This window comes from Homo sapiens, chromosome 7, assembly GCF_000001405.40.
Source record: "Homo sapiens chromosome 7, GRCh38.p14 Primary Assembly".
NCBI lineage: Eukaryota > Metazoa > Chordata > Mammalia > Primates > Hominidae > Homo > Homo sapiens.
In genome coordinates this window covers 71,549,218-71,575,236 of record NC_000007.14, presented here as the reverse complement: position 1 = coordinate 71,575,236, position 26,019 = coordinate 71,549,218, and the positions used below count along the sequence as shown (strand labels likewise).

Here is a 26,019-nt window from a genome sequence, read left to right as displayed (position 1 = left end):
GCTTCTTTATTCAGGCGGTGGGGATGGATTTCTTAAGAATGCATTTATTATGCAATTCATTCAAGCCCTAAGTAGTACAAAATAGCACAAAATGAAAGGAGAAGTAGTATTGTCTCAGAAGTGCCTTGTGTATATTATTTCATTTGAAAAACGGAGCTCTGTCATCAGGAACCCTGTAGTCACCTGGTCGAGACACCCGTACATGAAGTTAAAAAGGTAGTAGATGTTGGTGCCTACAGGACTCTGGCTGTGTAGGCTGGAGTGAGAAGAAAGGACTCACTTTGGGCCAGTGTGGCCATGGAAGGGCACCTGGAGAAGGGACTAGAAAGAGGTGGATTCTCACCTGGGCTCCTTTCTGCTAAAGGACATGCATTTGCCAGGAAGTCGGCTAAACCTAGGGGTAGACCAGTAGCTCTCCAACAAGGGCCCATAACTAAGTTACCTGGTGGGGTAGGAGGGCTTGGTAAACACAGGGAGCTGGACTCCCTGCCACTCCAGAGTTTCTGATTCAGTAGGTCTGGGATGGGGCCCAAGAATTTTCACTTCTAACAAGTTCCCAGGTGAGGTGAATGCTTCTGACTGGAAACATGAGAACCAGAGAATTCTGTGTAGACTCCAAACCCAGACCTTTGCCTTTCTGCAACCAGCAGCACTCAATCCCACTTTAAGAACTGGCAGAAAACCAAGGCTTATGTCAAGATCACCTTGCAGCCTGCAGGATGATGTGGTCTATGGAAAGTTAAGAGGCAAAATTATTCCCCCATCTCCAGAAGCTGGAGATGCCTTGAAGTACTGTAAGAGGCAGGTAATTGCACTCTGGAGTGACATCTATGACCCTGATGCAAGTGACACTTTAATAAAGACCTACCCTGAGCAGTGGGGGAGCTGAATTGTCATGGAGACAAAGCCAGGGAGAAATTGCCTGGGGGCAGACTGGGCTCTGCAGGGACCATTCATTCCAGCCCATCAACAAGGAGTGAGGAATCCCCAAACTGCCTTCCACAACGGCTGAAAGAACTTAAAATAGAATTACCATTTGACCCAGTATCTCATTTACTACTGGGTATAGACCCAAAAGAATACAAATCATTCTACCATAAAGACACATGCACACGTATGTTCATTGCAGCACTATTCACAATAGCAAAGACATGGAATCAACTTAAATACCCATCAATGGCAGAACAGGTAAAGAGAGTGTTGTACATGTACGCAATGGAATACTGCACAGCTGTAAGAAGAAGGAGATCACGGATGGAGCTGGAGGCCATTATCCTAATCGAATTAATGCAGGAACATCCAACCAAATACTGCATGTTTTCATGTATAAGTGGGAACTGAACATTGAGCACATATCATCACAAAGAAGGGAACCACAGACACTGGGGCCTACTTGAGGGCAGAGGGTGGGAGGAGGGTGAGGATCAAAACTACCTATCAGGTACTATGCTTACTACCTGGGTAATAATCTGTGCACCAATCTGTGCTCATTGAGGTGTCAATTATCAATACAGGTAATACACAATTCACCTATATAACAAACCTGCACATGAACCCCTGAACCTAAAATGAAAGTTAAAAGAAAAAAATAAAAAATAAAATAGGCCAGGTGTGGTGGCTCACGCCTGTAATCCCAGCACTTTGGGAGGCTGAGGTGGGCAGATCACAAGGTCAGGAGATTGAGACCATCCTGGCTACCACAGTGAAATCCCATTTCTACTAAAAAGACAAAAACAAAATTAGCCGGGCAAGGTGGCAGGCGCCTGTAGTCCCAGCTACTTGGGAGGCTGAGGTGGGAGAATGGCGTGAACCCAGGAGGTGGAGCTTGCAGTGAGCCGAGATCGCGCCACTGCACTCCAGCCTGGGCGACAGAGCAAGACTACTTCTCAAAAAATAAATAAATAAATAAATTAATTAATTAATTAAAGGCCAGGCATGGGAGCTCATGTCTGTAATCCCAGCACTTTGGGAGGCCGAGGCGGGAAGATCAGCTAAGGTCAGGAGTTCAAGACCAGTGTGGTCAACATGGTGAAATCCCATCTCTACTAAAAATATAAAAAATTAGCCAGGTGCAGTGGCACGTGCCTGTAATCCCAGCTACTTGAGAAGCTGAGGCCGGAGAATCGTTTGAACCTGGGAGATGGAGGTTGCGGTGAGCCAAGATCACACCACTGCACCCAGCCTGGGCAACAAAGCAAGACTTCATCTCAAATAAAATAAAATAAAATAAAATAAATAAATAAAAAAACAAAAAATAGGGAGTGAAGGGAGAATCTACATGATCCCACAATCTGGTCGTACAGGGGTGTTGGTGGACAGGACTGTGCTGCTGGGGAAGGACCCAGGAGTCCCCTCCTTGCTTTAGGGATTGGGGACAGCCACACAGTCTTGCCTGCTAAGCAGTTACCACCATCACCACCAAGCCTGCAGAGCCTCACACTCAGACTTTTCCTGCCACGTCACTGCAAAGCAAAATGAATCATTTCTGGAGATCTAATGTACAGCATGGTGGCCACAGTTAATGATATGGTATTGTAGACTTTTAATTTGCTAAGAGGATAGATCTTAAATTAAATCTTCTCACCAGCCTCCACACACAGTGGTAATTAGATGGAGGTAATGGATGTGTCACTCAGTTTGATTGTGGTGCTCATTTCACAATGTATATGTATATCCAAACATCACCTGTACACCTTAAACATGTAGTTTTTTTTTTTTTTTTTTTTTTTTTTAATGAGACAGGGTCTTGCTCTGTTGCCTGGGCTGGAGTGTAATGGCATAATCATGGCTCACTGAAGCCTTGAACTCCTGGGCTCAAGCGATCTTCTTGCTTCAGCCTCCTGAGTAGCTGGGACTACAGGTTCACACAATCACACCTGGCTAATTTTTTATCTTTTGTGGAGATGGTGGTTTTGTTATGTCACCCAGGCTGGTTTTGAACTCCTGGGCTCAAGTGACCCCCCTGATTTGGTTTCCGAAGTCCCTGGGATTATATATATGAGCTTTTTTTTTTTTTATTTTTCATAGAGACAGCGTCTTCCTACTTTGCCCAGCCTGGTTTTGAATTCCTGGGCTCATGTGATCCTCCTGACTCGGCTTCCCAAGTCACTGGGATTACAGGTGTGAGCCACCAAAATCTGTATATGTCAATAACATCTCAATAAAACTGTTAAAAATAAATCTGCGGATGTAAAAACTAAACCACAAATGCCTTTGTGAGAGAGACAGGGTCTCTCTTGCTCTGTTGCCCAGGCTAGAGTGCAGTGATGCCATCATAGCTCACTGCAGCCTCGAACTCCTGGGCTCAAGCCATCCTCCTACCTCAGTCTCCAGAGGAGCTGGGACACAGACATGCACCATCACGCTTGGCTAATTTTTTATTTTTTGTAGAGACAGGGTCTTGCTCTGTTGCCCAGGCTTGTCTTGAATGCCTGGTCTTAAGTGATCGCACCACCGTGGCCTCCCAAAGTGTTGGGATTACAGGCATAAGCCACTGTGCCTGGCCTGAAAATATTAATTTAAGGAGATCATTTAAGAAAAATTTAAGGAGAGACCAAAACTGAATGGGAGTGGGAACCACCCTCTCCAGCTAATGCCCAGAGTGGGTAGCAATGGCATGAAACCTATCAGCCAACTTTTAGACAGGGGAAAGCCCAGGTTTCCCTACATAAGGAGGGGTGACAGTGCAGCTCATGCATCCCCCAGGAACAAGGTGGAGTAAATGAATCTGTCATTCATCAGCTGTAAGGAGCTTTAAATACACCCCACGGATGACCAAGACGCTCTGCTCACAAACATGGGCACACCAAGAGGAAGGGACACCATGTCACAAACCTTGATTCCCAGTTCAATATTTTCTCCTCCGTATACATCCATGCCAGGATCCAGAAGACCAATTTCACCGAAGAACTTCCTGTTGACCACGAACGAGCAGCCTATCATGGCTGGGGTCCTGAGGGAGGGAGAAAGAAGGGAAGCTCATTGAGGTGTCAGTGCCAGAAGCCCTTCCATAGGCACCGTCCTAGTATGTACTGGTTCCGGTCTAGCATGTACTGGTTCCAGCCTAGCATGTACTGGGTTCCAGCCTAGCATGTACTGGGTTCCAGCCTAGCATGTACTGGGTTCCAGCCTAGCATGTACTGGGTTCCAGCCTAGCATGTACTGGTTCCAGCCTAGCAAATCAAGTCACTTCCCTCAATTCCCACACCTCCTCTCTCTGTTACTCTGTAAGGCTGTTTTTTGTTTTTGTTTTTGTTTTGAGTCGGAGTTTTGCTCTTCTTGCCCAGGCTGGAGTGCAATGATACAATCTTGGCTCACCGCAACCTCCACCTCCCAGGTTCAAGCAATTCTCCTGCCTCAACCCCCTGAGTAGCTGGGATTACAGGATGCGCCACCATGCACAGCTAATTTTGTATTTTTAGTAGAGCCGGGGTTTCTCCATGTTGGTCAGGCTGGTCTCGAACTCCTGACCTCAGGTGATCTGCCCACCTCAGCGTCCCAAAGTGCTGGGATTACAGGCATGAAACACCATGCCCAGCCTGTGAGGCTGTCTTTTAGCTTCAAAAGCATCTAGGGATAATGTGACTCCCTCATAGATGGGGTAAGGGCTGGTCTCCCGTATCCCATGGCGTCTGCACACATAGGAAGCGGTCCCTGCTGCACTCTGTTGACAGCTGAGTGATGGGATGGGGGGTCCTTGTGCAGTCTCAAAGAAGCTTGGAGGTGAGAAGCAAGATGCACCACTCCCCACCCCAGGAAAAAGAGAATGAGCAAGTTAGGAGTGCAATGGGAAACTGGAGAGAGGAAGATTGCAAGCAAGGGCTCCAATTTCCACGTTATGCTGGAAGAAAGTGGACCAGGGTGGGGTCTTTAGAGAAGGGAGAAGACTCAGGGAGGAAACACATCCTAGTGCCTAAAGGTATCCATCATAAATGGCAAGGGCATGACCTCAGCCCGCAGAGAGGAGGTCTCAGCAGGAGAGACAAAGAGAGCACGTGTAGAGTAACCATGAAGTCGGGACAAAGGATTATTTTATTTTTGTATAAATTCATCCCCTTGGTTGTTTCTTCTGGGGAAGGCTAAAGGCACAAGTTGACCTATTGAAAATTAGAGACAAGAACCATGTGAGGCCACCTGTCAGAACAATTATTATTAAAAAGTTAAAAAAAAAAAACAACCAAAAAAACAAAACCCACCAGATGTTGGCAAGGTGTGGAGAAAAGAAAACACTTACACACCATTGGTGGCAGTGTAAAATAGTTTAGACCCTGTGGAAAGCAGTTTGGAAATTTCTCAAAGAACTAAAAATAGAACTACCATTCAACCAAACAATCCCATTAATGGGTATCTACCCAAAGGAAAATAAATAGTTCTACCAAAAAGACACCTGTATTCCTACGTTCATTGCAGCAATATTCACAATAGCAAAATCATGAAATCAACCCATGTGCTCATCAATTGTAGACTGGATTAAAAAAAAATGTGGTGCATATACACCATGGAATACTATGCAGCCATAAAAAGGAACGATATCATGCCCTTTGCTGCAGCATGGACACAGCCATTCAAGACTAGTGTGGAAAAGTTGTTCCCCAGAGTTCAGTCCAGGGACCAACTGCATCAGCATCAACCCAACAGCTCCTTTGAAAATGCAATGCATCTTCTGGCCGAGCTAACAAACAAATTAATGCAGGAACAGAAAATCAAATACCATTCGCTCTCACTTGTAAGTGAGAGTTAAACATTGGGTACACACAGGCATAAAGATGGTAACAATAGTCACTTCGGAACTCCAAAAGCAGGTAGGGAGGGAGAGGGGAGAGTTGAAAAACTACCTATTGGGTACTCTGTTCACAATTTAGGTGATGGGATCAACAGATGCCCAAACTTCAGCATCACTCAATATACCCATGTAACAAATCTGCACGTGTACCTCTTGTATCCAAAATTCTTAAAAAATCATGTTAGAGCCGGGCACGATGACTCACGCCTGTAATCCCAGAACTTTGGGAGGCCGAGGCAGGGGGATCACAAGGTCAGGAGATCGAGACCATCCTGGCCAACATGGTGAAACCCCGTCTCTACTAAAGATAAAAAAATTAGCCAGGCATTGTAGTGCGTGCCTTTAGTCTCAGCTACTCGGGAGGCTGAGGCAGGAGAATCACTTGAACCTGGGAGGTAGAGGTTACAGTGAGCTGAGATCGCACCACTGCACTCCAGCCTGGGCAACAGAGTGAGGCTCCATCTCAAAAATCAATCAATCAATCAATCAATTGATAAATCATGTGAGACAATACCACACATGCATATATGTGCAGTGGTTGACAGGAATGCTGCATTATTCTACCACGTTCATTGCAATGTTGTATGATGCATGGGACCATGCATTGTAAATTAGAAAAATCACACTGATAAATATTAAGTATTGTATTGTATTACATTGTGCATTGTAGTATAGTATCAATAGATAATTTATTATATCTTTTTGCCTCTGTTTCCAGACTTTATAGTCACCCTTACATAATAAATTCATTGAGTAAATATTTGCTCAGCATCTACCAAATCATGCCCTTTGCTATGGCTGGATGTACTCTAGATCCCGGATGCAGCTGGAGACCACTATCCTAAGCAAATTAACTCAGGAACAGAAAACCAAAGACCGCATGTTCTCACTTGTAATTTGGAGCTAAACATTGGGTACACATGGAGATAAAGATGTTTAAGGCATTTTGCTGGTGCTGTAGCAGATGGGAAAATAGCAGACATGCCTCTGTCATCCGAGCAACTAAGAGTGAATATAAGAATAATACAAAAATTAGTATTGTTATTGCAACCATTTATTTAGCAATTTCCTGTCTCAAGCACAAGATGCAAAGCACTTTCCACGCACATCTCGTGTATGCACTGCCACAATCCACTGAAGGAGGCAGAACCATCTCCACTGAACGACTGAGGCACACGGAGATTAGGTGACCTGCCCTGAGTCACAGAATAGAACTCAGCATCTGCCTGCCTTCAAAGCCCTTGATTTTAGCCCTTTTGCTTTACTGCACGCTTTAGAAAAGGCTTCATGGAGGAACTGGCAAATGCCCCCACTGCCAAAGGCCAGAAACACCGTTAAGGTGCTTCCCTGGGCAAAAGAGACACCTCACGCAGGAGGTCCATTGAAACTCCACTGGGGCCACCAGGAAGCTATTAGGTGGAATTCTTTGGAGCCAAAGGGTGGACTGTAGTCTCGGACCCTCATCGGCTGGTTATGACTTCTAACTTGACTTCGACCTTCACATCCAGGTTTCTGATTCCATGGAAAGCCACTTGGTACCCATGTGGTGAGGCAGCAGTGGATGAGCCTCTTCATTCACCTTCAGTGGTGGCACAAGCATGAAATGTGTAGTTAAACGCTGGTGCTGCCACCGAAGACTATAATTGCATAAGTCAATGGAGCACTCTAGATTCCTGTTAAATCTCTACAAGGGGCTGGGTGCGGTGGCTCACACCTGTAACCCCAGCACTTTGGGAGGCTGAAGTGGGCGGATCACAAGGTCAGGAGTTTGAGACCAGCCTGACCAACATGGTGACACCCCGTCTCTACTAAAGATACAAAAATTAGCTGGGCGTGGTGGTGTGCACCTGTAACCCCAGCTATTGAGGAGGCTAAGGCAGGAGAATCGCTTGAACCTGAGAGGCGGAGGCTGCAGTGAGCCAAGATCGCACCACTGCACTCCAGCCTGGGTGACAGAGCGAGACTCCGTCTCAAACAAACAAACAAACAAAAAAATCTCTACAGGGTATTGTTGTGTGGATTAAACAAGAGAAAACCTGCAATGGGCCCAGTGCACAGAGCAGGAGCTCAATAAGTAATGCGCCTTCACCTTCTTACTGGGAGGTGCCCTTCTGTGTGTTTACAGAAATCGCATGCCAATCACACTTATGCAAACGGGACCTTGCTCCTGCTGGTGTAGCAGGTTCACCCTGGACTATGCCAGGGGAAAGCATGGCTTCTAATGTGCATCATTTCCTCCCAGCTCTTGGCGCCTTTTAGAGAAGCAGCCTGACCTTTAGTCTGGAAAAGCATCAAATGAGCCCATTCCCTGGCCTCAGTTAACCAAACCAGAAAATGAGCACTGATCCCAAGCCAGGACAAATTATGTTTCCTCTGAAGCTTGGAATTAGGTTTCTCCTGAAGGGGTGGCTTTGGAAATGAAGACAACTCTGGGAGCTAGAACTCAATAGGCTCACACGCGTTCAGGGCTCAGGCCGCCACCGTGAGCAGTTCCTGAGGGGCTCCATGCACACGGATGATTGAGCAGAAGGAGGAGGCAGATGTACAATGGAGACTACATGGACGTGGGGGTGACTGGCCACCCAGGAATCCTGGCTTTCCATCTGCTGAGAGCCCTGGCTCTGCTCTCCGCCCCTAAGTTACAGGAGGGTCCTTTGTGTCTTTGCAATCGGTCCTTCTCCACATAAACAGTGTTAGATAAGTTTCCGTTCTTTGCAACCAAACGGTGATGATGACCTACGCTAACCCCTCCTACTTATGATCCAGAGCAGGAAAAAAAAAAAAAAAAAAGCTTTATCTCGCAGCTAGAAGAGGAAGGCTACAGGGAAGATTCCTTCTGGAAGAGCCGGAATCAGAGTCTGCCCGAGTTATGGAGATATGCTAGTGCCACAGGTCCCTGGGTATGCTGGCATCAGCACAGAAGCAGGGGACTGGGAGATGTCCTCGGCGTTAGCTCCATTTTCTAGAGGGTGTTTCTGAGCACATCAAGCAATTCTGATAAGTTACAAAAAATCTCCCCAAAAGCCTATGCTTGGAGTCTGAAAACACCCAACATTGACAAGAGTGTGTAGTGAAGACCCTGCTCTAAGACTCTGCTTTCTAACCTCTCAGAGGCAAACAGGGTAGTTAAAATCACAGAAAGCGCCCAGGCCACAAACTCTCCCAAAGCGGTGGCTTTGGGCATTGCCCTGTGTGCAGAAAAGTTGTTTCCCAGAGGTCAGTCTAGGGGCTGACTGCATCAGCATCAACCCAATAACTCCTTAGAAAATGCAGCTTCTGGCCAGGTGTGGTGTGGCTCATGCGTGTAATCCCGGCACTTTGGGAGGCCAAGGTGGGCAGATCACTTGAGGTCAGGAGTTCAAGACCAGCCTGGCCAACATGGGAAAATCCCTGTCTCTACTACAAACAAACAAACAAACAAACAAACAAACAAAACCCACAAAATTAGCCAGGCCTAGTAGCACGCACCTGTAATCCTAGCTACTCGGGAGGCTGAGGCAAGAGAATCGCTTGAACCCAGGAGGCAGAGGTTGCAGTGAGCCGAGATCACACCACTGCACTCCAACCTGGGGGAAAGAGCGAGACTCCGTTTCAAAAAAAAAAAAAAAAGAAAAGAGAAGAGAAAAAAAAATGCAGCTTCTTGGGTCTGGTCCAGAACTATGGACTGGGTCCAGAGATGGGACTCAGAGATTTGTGTTTGTATCTGTGGGACCATGCTGTGGCTGTGGAGCCTTCTACCCCACCAGATGTTCAGGTATCTCCCTGAGAGCAGAGAAGTTATGCCTGTCATTTCTCATGGTATTTCCAGCAGCTAGAGCACTCACCAAATACTGTTGAGTGAATGAATGTGCAGAACAGATCTGGGGAGGACTCCTGGTAGGGAAGAGCACCATGATGCCTCAGGGACCAACTGGGTATCAGGGGAGTGTGCTCTAACTAGGGGTGGGAGGGAGGGATGAAAGATGGAGAAGGGAGAGCAGGATGAAGTGCTAGAGAGAGGAAGGAGAGGACAGTAGAGAAGGGGAGAGGAAAGGAGAGAGGAAAGAGGGGAGCAGACAGAGGGATCAGAAGCTCATCACATCACCTTCACTGAGGAGGGGAGTAGACAGGCTCCCTCTTCTTCAGATCCCTCTCAGTTACCCTTTGGGCAACATCTTTCCCCGTCAGGAGCCTGATTTTTTTTTTCTTGAGATGGAGTCTCACCCTGTTGCTTAGGCTAGGGTGCAGCGGTGCCATCTCAGCTCACTGCAGTCTCCGCCTCCTGGGTTCAAGCGATTCTCCTGCCTCAGCATCCCAAGTAGCTGGGATTACAGGCACCCAGCACCATGCCCGGCTAATTTTTGTATGTTTAGTAGAGACAGGGTTGCACCATGTTGGCCAGGCTGGTCTCGAACTCCTGATCTCAAGTTATTCACCTGCTTCAGCCTCTGAAAGTGCTGGGATTACAGGCATGAGCCACCGTGCCCGGCCCAGCCTGATACTTTAATGTAACTGGGTTTTATCTGGATGGTGTCTGTGGCTGTGTGTGGTAATGAGAGAAAGCTTCGCAGCATGACTTGCCCGGAGTCCCCTCTGTGCTGGAAACAGCTCTGCTCAGCACACATGACAGGGTTCTCTGAGTCCTGGGATTTCTCACAACAAAGTGGTGAGGTCTCCATTTGGTATGTCTTCCTTCAAACCAGGCCAGGGCAGGTCAGCAGCCCAGAGGTGCCCAGGAGGCTGTGGGAAACCAGACCTCCACCTGTGTCCCAGGCGGGCCTCATCAGAACCCACAGATGAATGGGCAGGAGGTAAGCCCAGTGCAGCGGGGATGTGGAATGAATGTGTGACGATGGTCGCTGTTGGTGTCACAGGAAAATTGTCCTAACTGGCTGGGTGCAGTGGCTCACACCTGTAATCCCAGCACTTTGGGAGGCTGAGGTGGGCAGATCACTTCAGGTCAGGAATTTGAGGCCAGCCTGGCCAACATGTGAAACCCCATCTCTACTGAAAATACAAAAATGAGCCGGGCGTGGTAGTAGGCACCTGTAATCCCAGCTACTTGGGAGGCTGAGGCAGGAAAATCACTTGAACCTGGGAGGAGGAGGTTGTAGTGAGCAGAGATCATGCCACACTGCACTCCAGCCTGGGTGACAGAGTGAGACTCCATCTCAAAAAAAAAAAAAAAAAAAAAAAAGAAAAGAAAAGAAAAAAAAAGAAAGAAAATTGCCCGTCACGATCAAAATCTGCTTACAGAGCCTGACAGAGGCTGGAAAGGAGAGGCTGGAACTGGCCCCAGCAGGTGACCCTCCCTGGAAGCAGAAGCAGAAAGCCTCTGTTCTGCAAACACCAAGTCTTCCCTATAGTGCTGGGAGCTGGCAAGACCCCTGCCACGTGGCTAATGTCTAACTGGATCATTGTGGAGGACATTAAATAATGAAAGGACATATCACCCTGGCAGGGTGGCTCATGCCTGTAATCCTCATACTTTGGAAGGCCGAGACAGGAGGATCGCTTTAGCTCAGGAGTTTGAGACCAGCTCAGGCAACAAAGCAAAAAGTACAAAAATCTCTATCACTACACAAAATTAAAAAATTAGCCAAGTATGGTGGCTCACACCTGTAATCCCAGCACTTTAAAGAGGTCAAGGTGGGAGGACTGCTTGAGCTAAGGAGTTTGAGGCCAGCCTGGGCAACATAGCGAGACCCTGTCTCTATGAAAAATAAAAAATTAGTCAGGTGTGGCGGCATGTGCCTATAGTCCCAGCTACTTGGGAGCCTAAGTTGGGAGGATCATTTGAACCTGGGAGGTTGAGGCTGCAATTGCACCACTGTACTCCAGCCTGGGTGACAGAGTGAGACCCTGTCTCAAAACAAATTTAAAAAGAAAAAAAAAAGACATATCTGCCCATGGACAGGCCAGTCAGCGTTGCTGGCGAGCTCAGTGGGCACCTGCTTTGTATTCTGGAGCTACCTGCCTGGACTGATAAACGAGGAGCTGTCCTTGTCCTCTGACTGGGGAGGGGCAGTCCTCCAACAGGAAGCTACCACCCATCCCATCTGGCACCTGCCTCGTGAGTGGCAGGCCAGCCACTTCATCCTGACAATCAGGAGCAAAGCACGGCTGCTGCTTCCCTTCCAAGGTGTCCCCACCACCTACCCAGCTGTGGAAGCTGCAGTTGATACCACTTGCGGGCTGAAGAGATCAGAGAACGTGAGTCTCCAGCCTCATCCTTCAAAGTCAACTGCGATTACGACCATGAGTGCAAACACTTCAATTCAAAATCATTCAAAAATGATAATCATATTAAGGGATCTGCCAAAGCCTAATAGCTCCATTACAGAAGAGAAGAACAGAAATTAAAAATAATCACTTATTGGTGCTGTTACAGAAATATATGCAACACACACAACAGTTCCAACTGAATGACAGAAAAGGAATAGACAGTGAGAAGAGGGTGGCAGCCCGATATTTGCACCAAGACATATACAGCTTTCTTGAGCTCATTGTGTTTTCTTTTCATAGGTGAAAAAGGACTCATCTTCATTCTAGATGCTTCCCCTCCTCTAAAGCCTTCAGTGGCTCACTATTCCCTTCTGAATTAAGTACAAGTTCTTCCTTGGCATCTCTGCCTCTCTTAATTCCTTTCCAGCCATCAACCCTATAGATCCTTTCGCCTGGCTACTCTATACCAGGGGTCCTCAACCCCCAGGCCATGGACCAGCACCAGTTGATGGCCTGTTAGGAACCAAGTTGCCCATCAGGAGGTGAGTGGCAGGCAAGTGAGTAAAGCTTCATCTGTACTGACAGATGAGGTTTCCCATCACTCGCATTACCGCCTGAGCTCTGCCTCCTGTCAGAGCAGCAGCGGCATTAGATTCTCATAGGTGTGCACACCCTGTTGTGAACTGTGCATTCAAGGGATCTAGGCTGAGAGCTGCTTATGAGAATCTAATGCCTGATGATCTGTCACCGTCTCCCATCACCCCCAGATGGGACCCTCTAGTTGCAGGAACAAGCTCAGGGCTCCCACTGATTCTACATGATGGTGAGTTGTAGAACTATTTCATTATATATTACAATGTAATAATAATGATTTCTGGTTGAAGGCTTGTGTCCCTGTGTTGTACATCAATGAGTGAGGCTGTAGGTATGGGAAGAGCAGGCTCCAGTGGTGGAGAGAAAAGAAGGAGCTAGAAACCAGAGACTGTGAACCAGATGCAGTGGTGCACACCTGTAATCCTTGCACTTGGGAGGCCAAGGCTAGAGGATTGCTTGAGTCCAGGAGTTTGAGAACAGACCGGGCAGCATAGTGAGACTATGTATTTCTACCAAAAATAATTTTTTAAAAAAATAACCAGGCATGGTGGTGCGCACCTGTATTCCCAGTTACTTGGGAGGCTGAGGCTGGAGAATCACTTGAGCCTGGGAGTTGGACACTGTAGTGTGCTATGATCGCACCACTGCACTCCAGCCTGGGTGACAGAGCGAGACCCCATCTCAAAAAAAAAAAGACAAAAAACAAAACAAAATCTGCTGATCCATAGCCTGTAAATCAGGGGAGTGTCTATCTCCAGAATGTACCAGAAGGCAGCCCCTTTGGACCAGTGTCTTCCACCCACCCCTCATTCCCCTGTTTGGTGACATTCTCCCGCTTGGATGCCTGCTTGTCACCATGTGGCTCGCTGTCTCAGTCACCTGTTGGGCACAAGTCCTGGTGGTGTCATGTCTTACCCTTGCTTTTCCCTGACACCTGTCATCTCTTGACATTCTCTTAGACCCCAGCCACCCGTTGGTCTCTGTTCTCTGGCAGCCATATCTCCAAATTCTATCATGATGATGGTTCCTGACCCAGGGATCAGGGGCTGACTCTATTTTCTATTTCCTGATTCCCACTGGCCTGCTGGGACTTGCTGCTTTTCTCTGACCTCAGACTCAAACAGGCTGCCGTTTTCTTTGGTCTTAGTTCTGCTTCAGCTGTTTGCTAAGCACTTTCTCATTCCAAGGTCCCACGTGCAAAACACTCATCCTCACCCCTGGAGTTGTCCTGGTATGAATGTCTGCAAATCCAACCCTCAAGGTATAATCAGTACTGAGTGTTTTCGTAGTACCGCCAACTTCTTTGGCAATCAGTAGGTTGGTTAATGCAAATTCACTCATTTCAGGCTGGGTGCAGTGGCTCATGCCTGTAATCCCAGCACTTTGGGAGGCCGAGGTGGGCGGATCACCTGAGGTCAGAGTTCAAGACCAGCTCGGGCAACATGGCAAAACCCTGTGTCTGCTAAAAATACAAAAATTAGCCAGGCATGGTGGTGCGTGCCTGTGGTCCCAGCTACTCGGGAGGCTGAGTCAGGCGAATCGCTTGAACCCGGGAGGTGGAGGTTGCAGTGAGCCAAGATCATGCCACTGCACTCCAGCCTGGCCGACAGAGCGAGACTCTGTCTCAAAAAACAAAAACAAAAACAAATTCACTCATTTCAGTGCATTTTGTTACATCAGCAACGGTGAATTCTTTTACACCATCTCCTAATACAGTAGAATAAATGTCCAATGCAGATGTTGCCCTTCTTTGGTTGTATCACACATCCAATCTATACCCACTGGCACAGGCACCAGTATTGTAAGCAAACAGGCAGGGTCTCCAGGGATTATAGGAATGTGCTCAATTTGAGCAATCAGCCTGTTTTACAGGCTCCTGCCCTGAAGCCTGTTTCTTCCTAAACCCTATATGGTCACCTAGTTGGTTAACACCGCCTCCTGACAGACCTCCCCCAGCGATTTATAGATGAACTCAAGTGAACTTTCTCATGACGGTGCTAAAGAGAGCTACAGCTCCGTTACCATCACATGCAACCTGGGTGCTGGCACGAAGGCATGATGGCTCCCTGTGCCTGCGCCACTAGGACCCCTCCTCTGCATGTGATGACACACCCTCTCCCCTCTCCATCATTCCATAAAACCCTCCTGTCACTTTCCCACGGGAGACACTGCTTTGGAGGATACTCCCATGCTCTCCTTCCTTGTGACAAGTGATCAATTCCCTATTGATCAAAGCCTGTGTTCTCATGGGGAGTTGCTTGTTACTCCCCAAGCAAATGGATCCTGTTTTGCGGGGATAACGGTAAGCCACGGTGGCCAAAAGACCAGGCAGGGAAGGAGGAGGAGAATGAGATAGGAGCACATCACTGAGACCAACAGCACCCTTTACTGGGCATCTCAATGCATCTGCTGCTACCTTAGGACAATTTGTGATTCTTTCTTTTTTTTTTTTTTTTTTTTTTTGAGATGGAGTCTCACTCTGTCCCCTGGGCTGGACCGCAGTGGCATGATCTTGGCTCACTGCAACCTCCGCCTCCCGGATTCAAGCGATTCTCCTGCCTCAGCCTCCCGAGTAGCTGGGATTACAGGCACCTACCACTACACCCAGCTAATTTTTTGTATTTTTGTAGAGATGAGGTTTCACCATCTTGGCTAGGCTGGTCTCGAACTCCTGACCTCGCGATTTGCCCGCTGCAGCCTCTCAAAGTGCTGGGATTTACAGGCGTGAGCTACCGCGCCTGGCTGATTTTTTTTTTTTTGTTTTTAATGTTGAAAATGTGTTTCTTTTTAATACATAAGACAGAAAAAAGAACCTGCACTCCAAGCTGGAGTGCAGTAGTGCAATCTCGGCTCACTGCAGCCTCGATCTCCCGGCTCAAGCAATCCTCCCACTTCAGCTTCTCAAATAGCTGGGACTATAGGCACACACCACCATGCCCTGCGAATTGTTTCCTTTTGGTAGAAACAAGGTCCCACTCTGTTGCCCAGGCTGGTCTCCGACTCCTGGCCTCAAGCGATCCTTACACCATGGCCTCTCAGAATGGTGGGATTAAAGCTGTGAGCCACTGCGCCTGGTTGATTCATAATTATTTTGAATCCTCAAAGCAGCTCCATTTGGTAGATATTATTAGCCCCATTTTCCAACTGAGGCTCAGAGGTTCAGTAACCTGACCAAGGGGAAGCATATGCAAATAAGTGCAGAACTAAGGGCAACCCAGGGGGCCTCTGATCTCTCGCCCCTCCCAGGTACCCAACTGCCTCCCAGACCAGATCATCTCACACTGGCAGCAGCTAAGAGCTCTTGCACTGGGTGAAATAAGTGATCCCACTTTGAAGATTTCTGGGAACTTGCAGCTGCTAAACACTAAAAATATAATTTTGAGGAAGGAGTTGGCTGGCTTGAATAGAATTCTCAACTGGCACATTACGGTAATTTAATGCCCAGAGTTCCAATTGCCTCTGCTATACATATAAATACCAAAAGGACAAGTCGGCTGCCTTTTAAAACAATCAAACACTGCATCCAGCTCACAAATAATCTCACAAGAAAATAGGACCCAAAGGCCAGTGCTTTGCCTTTAAGTGGAAGTAGCACTTTCACCTTTGTTGCTGAAAAGATAATTCATGCTGAAACAACAACTTCCTTCAGATTGGAAAGGGAACTGTCAAGGAATTAAGAGCATTTCCTTTTGTAGGATAAAGGAAGCCTCATCTCTGTGGGGTGTGAATTTTCACAGATGCAGAAAAAAACGCCAGTGGTGACTGAAGTTGCCAGTCTCAAAACTCATTTCCTTGGCTGACTGATTTCTGTCTGGGCTTGTTTTATTAAAACAAAGATCCACATCGAAACTCCCTAGTAAGATATTCCCTATAAGCAATTTTCTCGGGATAATACTTTTACTTTTTGGTAATCATATTTCCTTGAAGCTTTGAGAAACTGATTTGCAAATAAGCCTTGGAAGAGTGTTTTTGTAAATGCACTATGCTTCTTAAGAAGTGGTGACACATTAAGCTGTTGTCAGCCATCGACACTTTATATATACTGTGTATATATATTTTAAAGTGTCTGGTTAGCTATCTTGTGAGATGAGACATGGTTGAGTGAACATTTGGGGAAAAGAAAAAGAGAAAGGTCTAGAACAGGCATCATCAGCAAACTACACTGCCTGTTTTTGTCTGGCCAGAGAATTAAGGATTTTTTTTAACAGATGAACACTTATAACTGATTTGATGATGATGATGGGAACACTAACTTTGAACCTAAACAAAGCAACATGTCACCTGTACACACGAAAATTCAAATGTTCTCATTAGTAGACCCAGATTACCAAAAAAAAAACCTAGACTCATTAATGTTACATTTTGGATTTTGTCAATAAAATATTTGTAGAAATCAGGTTTTGCACTTTGTTTATAAGTACCCACATAATATCCTTGATTTTGCCTGGATTTACTATCCAGCCAATCAGAGAAAAATTTCACCAACCTCTGTGCTAGAAGATGAAGCCGTGGAGGAGAGTACAGTCTCTGGACTGGGAGAGACTGGCAGAAAGGTGATTGTGTTTTTGTTTTGTTTTGTTTTTGAGACAGAGTCTCGCTCTGTGGCCCAGGCTGGAGTGCAGTGGCGTGATCTCAGCTCACTGCAATCTCTGCCTCCTGGGTTCAAACCATTCTCCTGCCTCAGCCTCCTGAGTGGCTGACATTACAGGCACCCACCACGATGCTCGGCTAATTTTTGTTATTTTTAGTAGAGATGGGGTTTCACCATGTTAGCCAGGATGGTCTCGATCTCCTGACCTCAAGTGATCCGCCTGCTTTGGCCTCCCAAAGTGCTGGGATTACAGATGTGAGCCACTGCGCCCGGGTATTTAAGAGTTTCATTCTGTCACCCAGGCTGGAGTGCAGTGGCGCGATCTCGGTTCACTGCAACTTTCATTTCCCGGGTTCAAGCGATTCTCCTGCCTCAGCCTCCCGAGTATCTGGGATTACAGGCACACGCCACCGGGCCTGGCTAATTTTATTTTTTATTAGAGACAGGGTTTCATCATGTTGGCCAGGCTGGTCTCGAACTCCTGACCTCAGGTGATCCACCTACCTCAGCCTCTCAAATTGCTAGATCACAGGCATGAGCCACTGCACCCAGCTAGGAAGGTAACTTTGAAAGAATGAATGGGGACTCATGTGAAGAGAAAGTCTTGAAAGATGGATCAGCCTCCTCTTCATCTGTAAAAGGAGGGCAATAATCCCTCTTCAACTTCCAGGGCTGATGCAAGAACAACTTTGATAAAAGCTTTAGGATGTACATTCGAGAATGGCATCAGGCTAGCAACACTGACAGGGTTCCAAAAAGAAAGAAAGAGTATTGAGATTTTTGCATGGTGGAGAAGTTTTCTGAGAATGTTTTAGGACATCCTATATCAATGCAGGCACTATGGGATAAAACAAAATGAAAAGAAAGTAATTAATACCAGATGTGGTGGTTCACGCCTGTAATCCTAGAGCTTTGGGAGGCTGAGGTAGAAGGACTGCTTCAGGCCAGGAATTTGAGACCAGTGAGGCAACATAGAGAGACCCTATCTCTCCCCAAAAAAAAAAAAAAAAAATTAGCTGGGTTTGGTGGTGTGCACCTGTAATCCCAGCTACTCTGGAGGCTGAGGAGGGAGGATTGCTTGAGCCCAGGAGTCTACAGCCTGGGCCACAGAGAAAGAACCGGTCACTTTAAAAAGGTTAAAAATAAAAATAATTAATTGGGAATTAGAGGACAAAGAGCAAAATAAGATTATGTCAAGGGGGCCAGGCGCAGTGGCTTATGCCTGTAATCCCAGCACTTTGGGAGGCCAAGGTGGGTGGATCACCTGAGATCAGGAGTTCAAGACCAGCCTGGCCAACATGGTGAAACCCTGTCTCTAAACAAAACAAAACAAAACAAAATAGCTGGGTGTGGTGGCTCGAGCTTGTAGTCCCAGATACTCGGGAGGCTGAGGTAGGAGAATCACTTGAGCCCAGGAGGCAGAGGCTGCAGTGAGCCGAGAGCAGAGCGCCACTGCACTCTACCCTGGGTGATGAAGTAAGACTCTGTCTCAAAAAATAAAAAAATAAAAAAGATGATGCCGAGGGTGAGTTTAGCAGACAAAATGCAGGCTCTGACATATTACATATTTAATAACAGTGGGCCACAAACTCAGCTCCAAGCTCTTTCATCCCCACTGTAGACAGAACCGTTGGCTGGATCTGCAGTGTCTAAAAGATTTTTAATAAGAGAAAGATAGTTACTTGATCACTAAGACCCAAGAGAAATTTCTCTACTGAGTGACTTGGTCTCCTTAACCAAGTCTCCTTAACACCACTTCAGCAAATACAATAAGCTCCACAAATCTGATTTTTAAAACACTTCTCAGCATTGGCCTATGATGTTTACCCAAGGACAGTCAGGTGACAGCAATTGTTCTCGGAACCAAATGAGATTCAGGTAAGAAGACAGCTTTCTGATGGCCTTGCGTATTTAAGGGCTACAGTAGCAGCAAAATAGTTGTAAGAAAGTAGTCAAATAAAAGAGTATAATAATTTATTTTGAAACTTATGAATGGGCTTTTTCTATGCTGGACTTGCCATCTCATCCAGAGGCAGTCATTAGCCTTGATCTAGGGGAAGACTGTCAGAGCTGAGATAGAAAGAAAAGCAAAGGAGATGTTAATTTTCTGTTGTGACTATAAAATAGATTCCTGACGTTAACTGCTGAAGCAATAGTCCCTAAGCCCGGATTTCAAGCGCACGAGCCGTGCATCAGAGACAGAAAGCATTTGCTAAATTCCAAAAGCCTCCCTTTAGATATTAAGGACAGCAGACCGGTGAAGCCAGAGGATGGCGGTTGTGACAAAGCCGTGGGGCTCACTGCTGGCTCACCTTAGGATCAACGAGGGAATCTTGAAAACTTGCCTGTGTTGAGGTGCACTCCCAGACACTGGTTTGATGATGGGTCTACATCCATATTTGATTCTAAAGCACAACCAGGGTTGAGAATCACTGACATATGGGATAGTTCCAATGCCAAAAAAGGCTGATATAATTTGGATGTTTCTCCCTTCCAAATCTCATGTTGAAATGTGATCACCAGTGTTATAGGTGGGGCCTGATGGGACCTGTTTGGGTCATGAGGGCAGACCCCTCATGAATGGTTTGGCGTTCTCCCCATGGTAATGAGTTCAGTAAGACAAAGCTGCTGGGCTCACTGCTGGCTCACTTTAGGATCACCTGGGGAATCTTGAAAAATGACCTCTGTTCAGGCACACTCCCAGACACTGGTTTGATTGGTCGACATCCATATTTGATTCTAAAGCACAATCAGGGTTGAGAAGTACTGACATATGGGAAAGTTCCAGTGCCCCAAAAGACTGATATAATTTGGATGTCAGTCCCTTCCAAATCTCATGATGAAATGTGATCACCAGAGTTGTGGGTGGGGCCTGATGGGACCTGTTTGGGTCATGAGGGCAGACCCCTCATGAATGGTTTGGTGCCTTCCCTGTGGTAATGAGTTCAGCAAGATCTGGTTGTTAACGAAGACTCTAGGACCTCCCTTGTCTCTCTTGCTCCCTCTCTCACCACGTAATGCTGGCTCCCCCTTCCCCTTCCACTATGACTGAAGATGTCTGAAGCCTTCACCAGAAGCCAAGCAGATGTTGGCACCATGCTTCTTGTACAACCTGCAGAACCGTAAGCCAAATAACCCTCTTTTCTTTATAAATTATCCAGCCTCAGATATTCTTTTAGAGCAATGCAAAACAGACACACACAGAAGCTAATTCTCCCTGGGCTGGGGAATAAGTCTGGAGACAGAAGAGACAGACATAAGAGAAGGTCTCTCCTGGGGGAGTTTCAGCCTCACCCTACTGCTCACGTTGGAATTCAGGGAGTGGGTACAGAAATCTGCAAATGGGTTTGAGGATGGGAAGGCAAAGAGATGGATGTTTTGCTTCCTGCCTAGCACTCTGGCGGGAGGCAATTGTCTTGCAGCGTGCTATGGGCAGTGGGGCAGGAATGGTGGAGTGATGTTTAGGCAGAGAGAGGACCTAAAATAATGCTCTAAATGCCCACAGCCAGCTCCTGGCCTGTAGGAAATCCTGAAGTTCCTGAGTACCCCAGGCGAAGGGGAGGTGTATTAGTCAGTTCTCACACTGCTAATACAGATATACCCCAAGACTGGGTAAGTTATAAAGGAAAGAGGTTTAATGGACTCACAGTCCACATGGCTTGGGAGGCCTCACCATCATGGCGAAAGGCAAAGGAGGAACAAAGTCACGTCTTACATGGTGGCAGGCAACAGAGAGTGTGCAGGGAAACTGCCCTTCATAAACCCATCAGATCTCACGAGATTTATCCACTATCATGAGAACAGCATGGGAAAAACCCGTCCCCAGGATTCAACTACCTCCCACTGGGTCCCTCCCACGACACACAGGAGGTACAATTCAAGATGAGATTTGGGTGGGGACAGAACCAAACCATATCAGGAAGCAAAGAACTAGACAGGTTGGTTCACAAAGGGAGTCAGGGGACAGGAGGGTACCCACTGGGTGGATATCTTGCCTGAAGTTCAGAAGCAGGGCCAAGGGCATCGGCTATGAATACAGAAGGGACAAAACTCAAGATTGGGAGGTGTCAACAGAAGCCAGAAAGGTCCCAGAAGACAGGCGCAGCCCAGACACCTCTCTCGTTGCCCCAAGGCAGCACCAGCTCCCCTTGCTTCCAGGCACTATTTAAGAGGAAAGCTGGGAGAGGGAGAACTTTCAAGGGGGAAGAGCGACCCTTAACAAATAACAGCCTGTCAAAATCTTGATTTAATGGAGCAATTGTCCTGAAAGAGATGGAGTTTTCAATGGGAAGAAACTGAGTTACCTTGAAACAAAAAGATTAGTTTTCTTTTCCATCATCAGTGAACACGAGGGCTGGAGAGCAAGTTGAATTCTTATTTGGAAAAATAAAGTCACCCTTTCTTACATCTGACTTGCAACTAAAATTTAAATTGTGTTACAGGTTTTAAATTACTGTAGAAGAATGAACAGAACTTTGAGACACCAACAGATACTTAGGAGAAGGGAAGAAAAAGAACAAGGATTCAATATGAAAAACAACTTTTCTGGAAAGTAATTTGGCAGTCTGTCTCGTAAGTCTTAAAAATAAACATGTCTTAGACCTAGAAATTCTACTCTTAGGAATTTATCATAAAGGATAATAATGACTTCTGCCTCTGAGACTGTCAGATGATGTAATTTGGACCAACTCTATAGCCTAAAAAAACTAAAAAAGCTGGAAAATTTTTTTTTTTTTAAAGAGACAAGGTCTTGCTCTGTCCCCCAGGCTGGAGGGAGGTGGTGCGAACATAGCCTACTGTAGTCTCAACCTCCTGGGCTCAAGCAATCCTCCCACCTCAGCCCCCAAAGTAGCCGGGACTACAGGCACATACCACTACACTCAGATAATTTTTGCATTTTTTTTTAAGAGAGAAAGTCTTGCTATGTTGCCCAGGGTGGTCTCAGACTTCTGAGCTCAGGCAATCCGCCCACCTTGGCCTCCCAAAGTGCTAGGATTACAGGCATGAGCCACCACACCAGCCTGGATAAAATTTTTTGATCTTAATAAAACCACTGTAGATGAACAAAATGAAAATTATTAGGTTGAACTCTGGCCGAGACTAGAAAAGGGAGACAGATGCCCAGCAACTGGGTTTCCTTCTACCTTGAGGTGTGTTCCAGTCCATAAAGCGGGACTGAGAGGCTGGGTTGCACTTCTAGCCACCTCAAAAGGCCAGAAAGCCGAGAGTTGGGTTTCAGTGCCCACTAATAATGGGCAACCTGGTAAACCACCCTTCATTTTTGGCTAAAATACAAAAAGTCTGCCCTTAAGAGTAACCTGGTGGGCCGGGCACAGTGGCTCACTCCTGTAATCCCAGCACTTTGGGAGGCCGAGGCGGACGGATCACCTAAGGTCAGGAGTTTGAGACCAGCCTGGACAACATGGTGAAACCCTGTCTCTACTAAACATACAAGAAATTAACCGGGTGTGGTGGCACGGGCCTGTAGTCCTAGCTACGAGGGGGGCTGAGACAGGAGAATTACTTGACCCTGGGAGGCAGAGACTGTAATGAGCCGAGATTACACCACTGCACTCCAGCCTGGGCAACAGAGTGAGACTCCATCTCAAAAAAAAAAAAAAGAGTCACAGCCAGGCACGGTACCTACTGTATAAGGTTCTTAGGAGAACTAAAAGTATCAGAATTTGTAAAGTGCCTTCCTAGCATATAACAAGTGCTATATGCCAGGCACAGCAGCTCACGCCTGTAATCCTAGCACTGTGGGAGGCCAAGGTGGGTGGATTGTTTGAGGCCAGGAGTTCAAGACCAGCCTGGCCAACATGGCCAAACCCCGTCTCTACTAAAAATACAAAAATTAGACAAGTGTGGTGGCATGCTCCTGTAGTCCCAGCTATGCAAGAGGCTGAGGCATGAGAATTGCTTGAACCCAGGAGGTGGAGGTTGCAGTGGCCCAAGATCACACCACTGTACTCCAGCCTGGGTGACAAACCAACACCCTGACTCAAAATAAATAAATAAATAAATAAATAAATAAATAAATAAATAAATAAATAAAAAGAGCAACCTGAAAGTCAACCTGGCCTCTCTCCCAAACTGCAAGCTCACTTCATTTCCTCTGGGAAGCCCAGAAAATCTCACACCTTGCATTTCCATTAAGGGAATCAGAGGCTGTGAGCACTCCTGTGCTCTTGGCAGAAGTAAACAAAAATTCTCACTAGAGGCAGGTAACACCGTCCTCGGTTACAAATTAACTTGACAAATAACTCTTGCTTTCCCGCTCTCTCTCTCTCTCTTTTTTTTTTTTTTTTGAGACAGGGTCTCACTCTGTCCCCTAGGCTGGAGTGCAGTGGTGTGATCATAGCTCAATGTACCGTCAACCTCCCAGGCTCCAGTGCATTAGCCTTCCAAGTAGCTAGGACTACAGGTCTGTGCCATGCACCTGGCTAATTTCTTTTTGTATTTTTTTTAAGAGACAGTATTTCACTATGTTGCCCAGGCTATACATAACTTTTTCAAACACAGTAGCTAACATCTCTAACACCTAATCAAAGACAATCAAAAGCATTAGGAATCAAGAGGCCAAAAGTTAGACTTGCATGAAAATAACAGACAACAAAAGAGAGGCACAGGACTTCCAGATACTGGAACTATCAGACTTATTGGAAAACATCTATGTTTACTGTGCTTAAGAAAATTAAAAAGCAAGCTTAAAATTTTTGGCAGGAAACTGGAAATCACAAAAAGTAGCACAACATATTTGAAAAAGGAAAAAGAGAAAAATCTAAAATCAAAAAGTTCAAAAATTAAGAACTCAGTGGATCATTTATCAGCAGATTAGACACAGCTGAAGAGAGCATTAATGAACTAGAGGCTAAGACAGAAGAAACTATGAAGAATGAAGCACAGAGGGAGAAAAAGATGAAGAATAAATAAAAGAGGGTAGGCAACATAAATAATACAATGATAAGATCTGACACCAGTTTGTGAAATCCCAGAGGACAGTAAACAGGGCAGAAGAAATATTAGAAGATATAATAGATAAGAATGTCCCATAATTGAGGAAGGAAATGAACACATATATTCAAAGCTCAACAAATCTCAAGCAGAACAAATAAAAAGAAATCTATCCTTAGATACATCATAATGGGAAATTTAAAAACAAAGGCAAAATCTTGTAAAAAGCCAGAAGAGGAAATAAAAAAAATCAGAGATTTAAAAAAAGTTTTTGTACAAAACTTTAAATCAAAATATTATCGATCATAATGAAAAAATTAAAATCTTCTAAATTTATATCAATTGGGATATAATTAAGTATATTTTGGCACAGTCCATGATAAAATGAATGCAGCTATTAAAACATCATATAAAGAATACTGAATGAAGGCTGGGCATGGTGGCTCACGTCTGTAATCCCACCAGCACTTTGGGAGGCCGAGGTGGGTGGATCACTTAAGTTCAGGTGTTCAAGACTAGCCTGGCCAATATGGCAAAATCCTGTCTCTATTAAATACAAAAAAATTAGCTGGGCATAGTGGCACAGGCCTGTAGTCCCAGCTACTCAAGAGGCTGAGGCAGGAGAATTGCTTGAACCCGGGAGGCAGAGGTTGCAGTGATCCAAAATCACGCCACTGCACTCCAGCCTGGGGGACAGAGCGAGACTCCATCTCAAAAGAACAAAAAAAACACACACAAAAAAACAAAAAACAACTGAATGATATAATAAAAAGCTCATGTAATAATGCTAGTTATAAAGTCAAAACACAATCATAGCTATGTATGACCCAATATTTATTTATATACAGGTCAATAAAAGGTAATATGCTAAACCAGTTACCTATCATTATTTCTAGGTTGTAAGGTTGTGGGATACTTTTATTTTCTTCTTTAAATTTTTTCCCATGCCTTTACAATGAACCTGTTGACTTTTATAATCAGAAAAGAAGTGGTTTTGCTTAGTTTCATTTAAAAACATAACACTAGCACTCACTGTTCTCAATTTTAAATTGGGGCAGGACTCATCTGAGCTAGTAGTTATTTTGTACATAGTACATTCTAATTATTCTGTCTTTAAAGTATGTTGAGCTCTGTGCATTGAAAGACAAGCAGGAGACGGTTTTAGGTTGAAACATGGTTATTACTTGAGCAGGGTCAGAATATAGCTGAGAAAGCCACACGCTTTCTCTGGATGCTTTTACGGAGAGAATCTACTTTCTCTCAGAACCTCCTTTCCCTCGGATCCTCCTCTTCTGCATTCCCAGAAGACCCATGAAACAGAACAAGATTCTTTTTCCTCCAAAATTCTTCCAGGGGCTTGGTATGACCCCATTCCCTCCTGGGCCTGGCATATACTAAGCTGTGATAACAGAAAAGAACTTTTTCTAACACAACTCAAGGAGAAAAAAACAATTACTCTTTCGGTATAATGAAACTTACATGAAGTCTTAATGTATATTGTAATATATTTATTCATCTACCTATTTATCTATTTATGAGAAAGAGTCTCGCTCTGTTGCCCAGGCTGGAATGCAATGGCATGATCGTAGCTCACTGCAGCATCAAACTCCTTAGGCTCAAGCAATCCTCAATCCTCCGGCCTCAGCCTCCTAAGTAGCTGGGACTACAGGCATGCACCACCATGCCAGGCTAACTCATGTACTTTTTGTAGAGACAGAGTCTTACTATGTAGCCTAAGCTGGTCTCAAACTCCTAGGCTCAAGCAAGCTTCCCACCTTAGGCCTCCCAAAGTGCTAGGAATACAGGAATGAGCCACCGTGCCCAGCCAAGATCTTTTCTAATGGTCTTGTAGATGCCTTCTTTTATCACCTCTTCAAGCCATATAGGTCTAAAA

The 26,019-nt window shown here is 45.8% G+C and overlaps 1 protein-coding gene across 3 annotated transcripts in view; it reads right to left on the bottom strand.

The window, feature by feature from the left end:
• Positions 1-26,019, bottom strand: part of GALNT17 (polypeptide N-acetylgalactosaminyltransferase 17) — a 581,456-nt gene that overhangs the window by 138,363 nt on the left and 417,074 nt on the right. For all 3 annotated transcript variants that reach the window (NM_022479.3, XM_011516467.4, XM_017012521.3), the window contains exon 6: positions 3,835-3,952. In NM_022479.3, coding sequence (NP_071924.1) covers positions 3,835-3,952 — 118 coding nt within the window. The remainder of the gene's footprint in view (positions 1-3,834; positions 3,953-26,019) is intronic.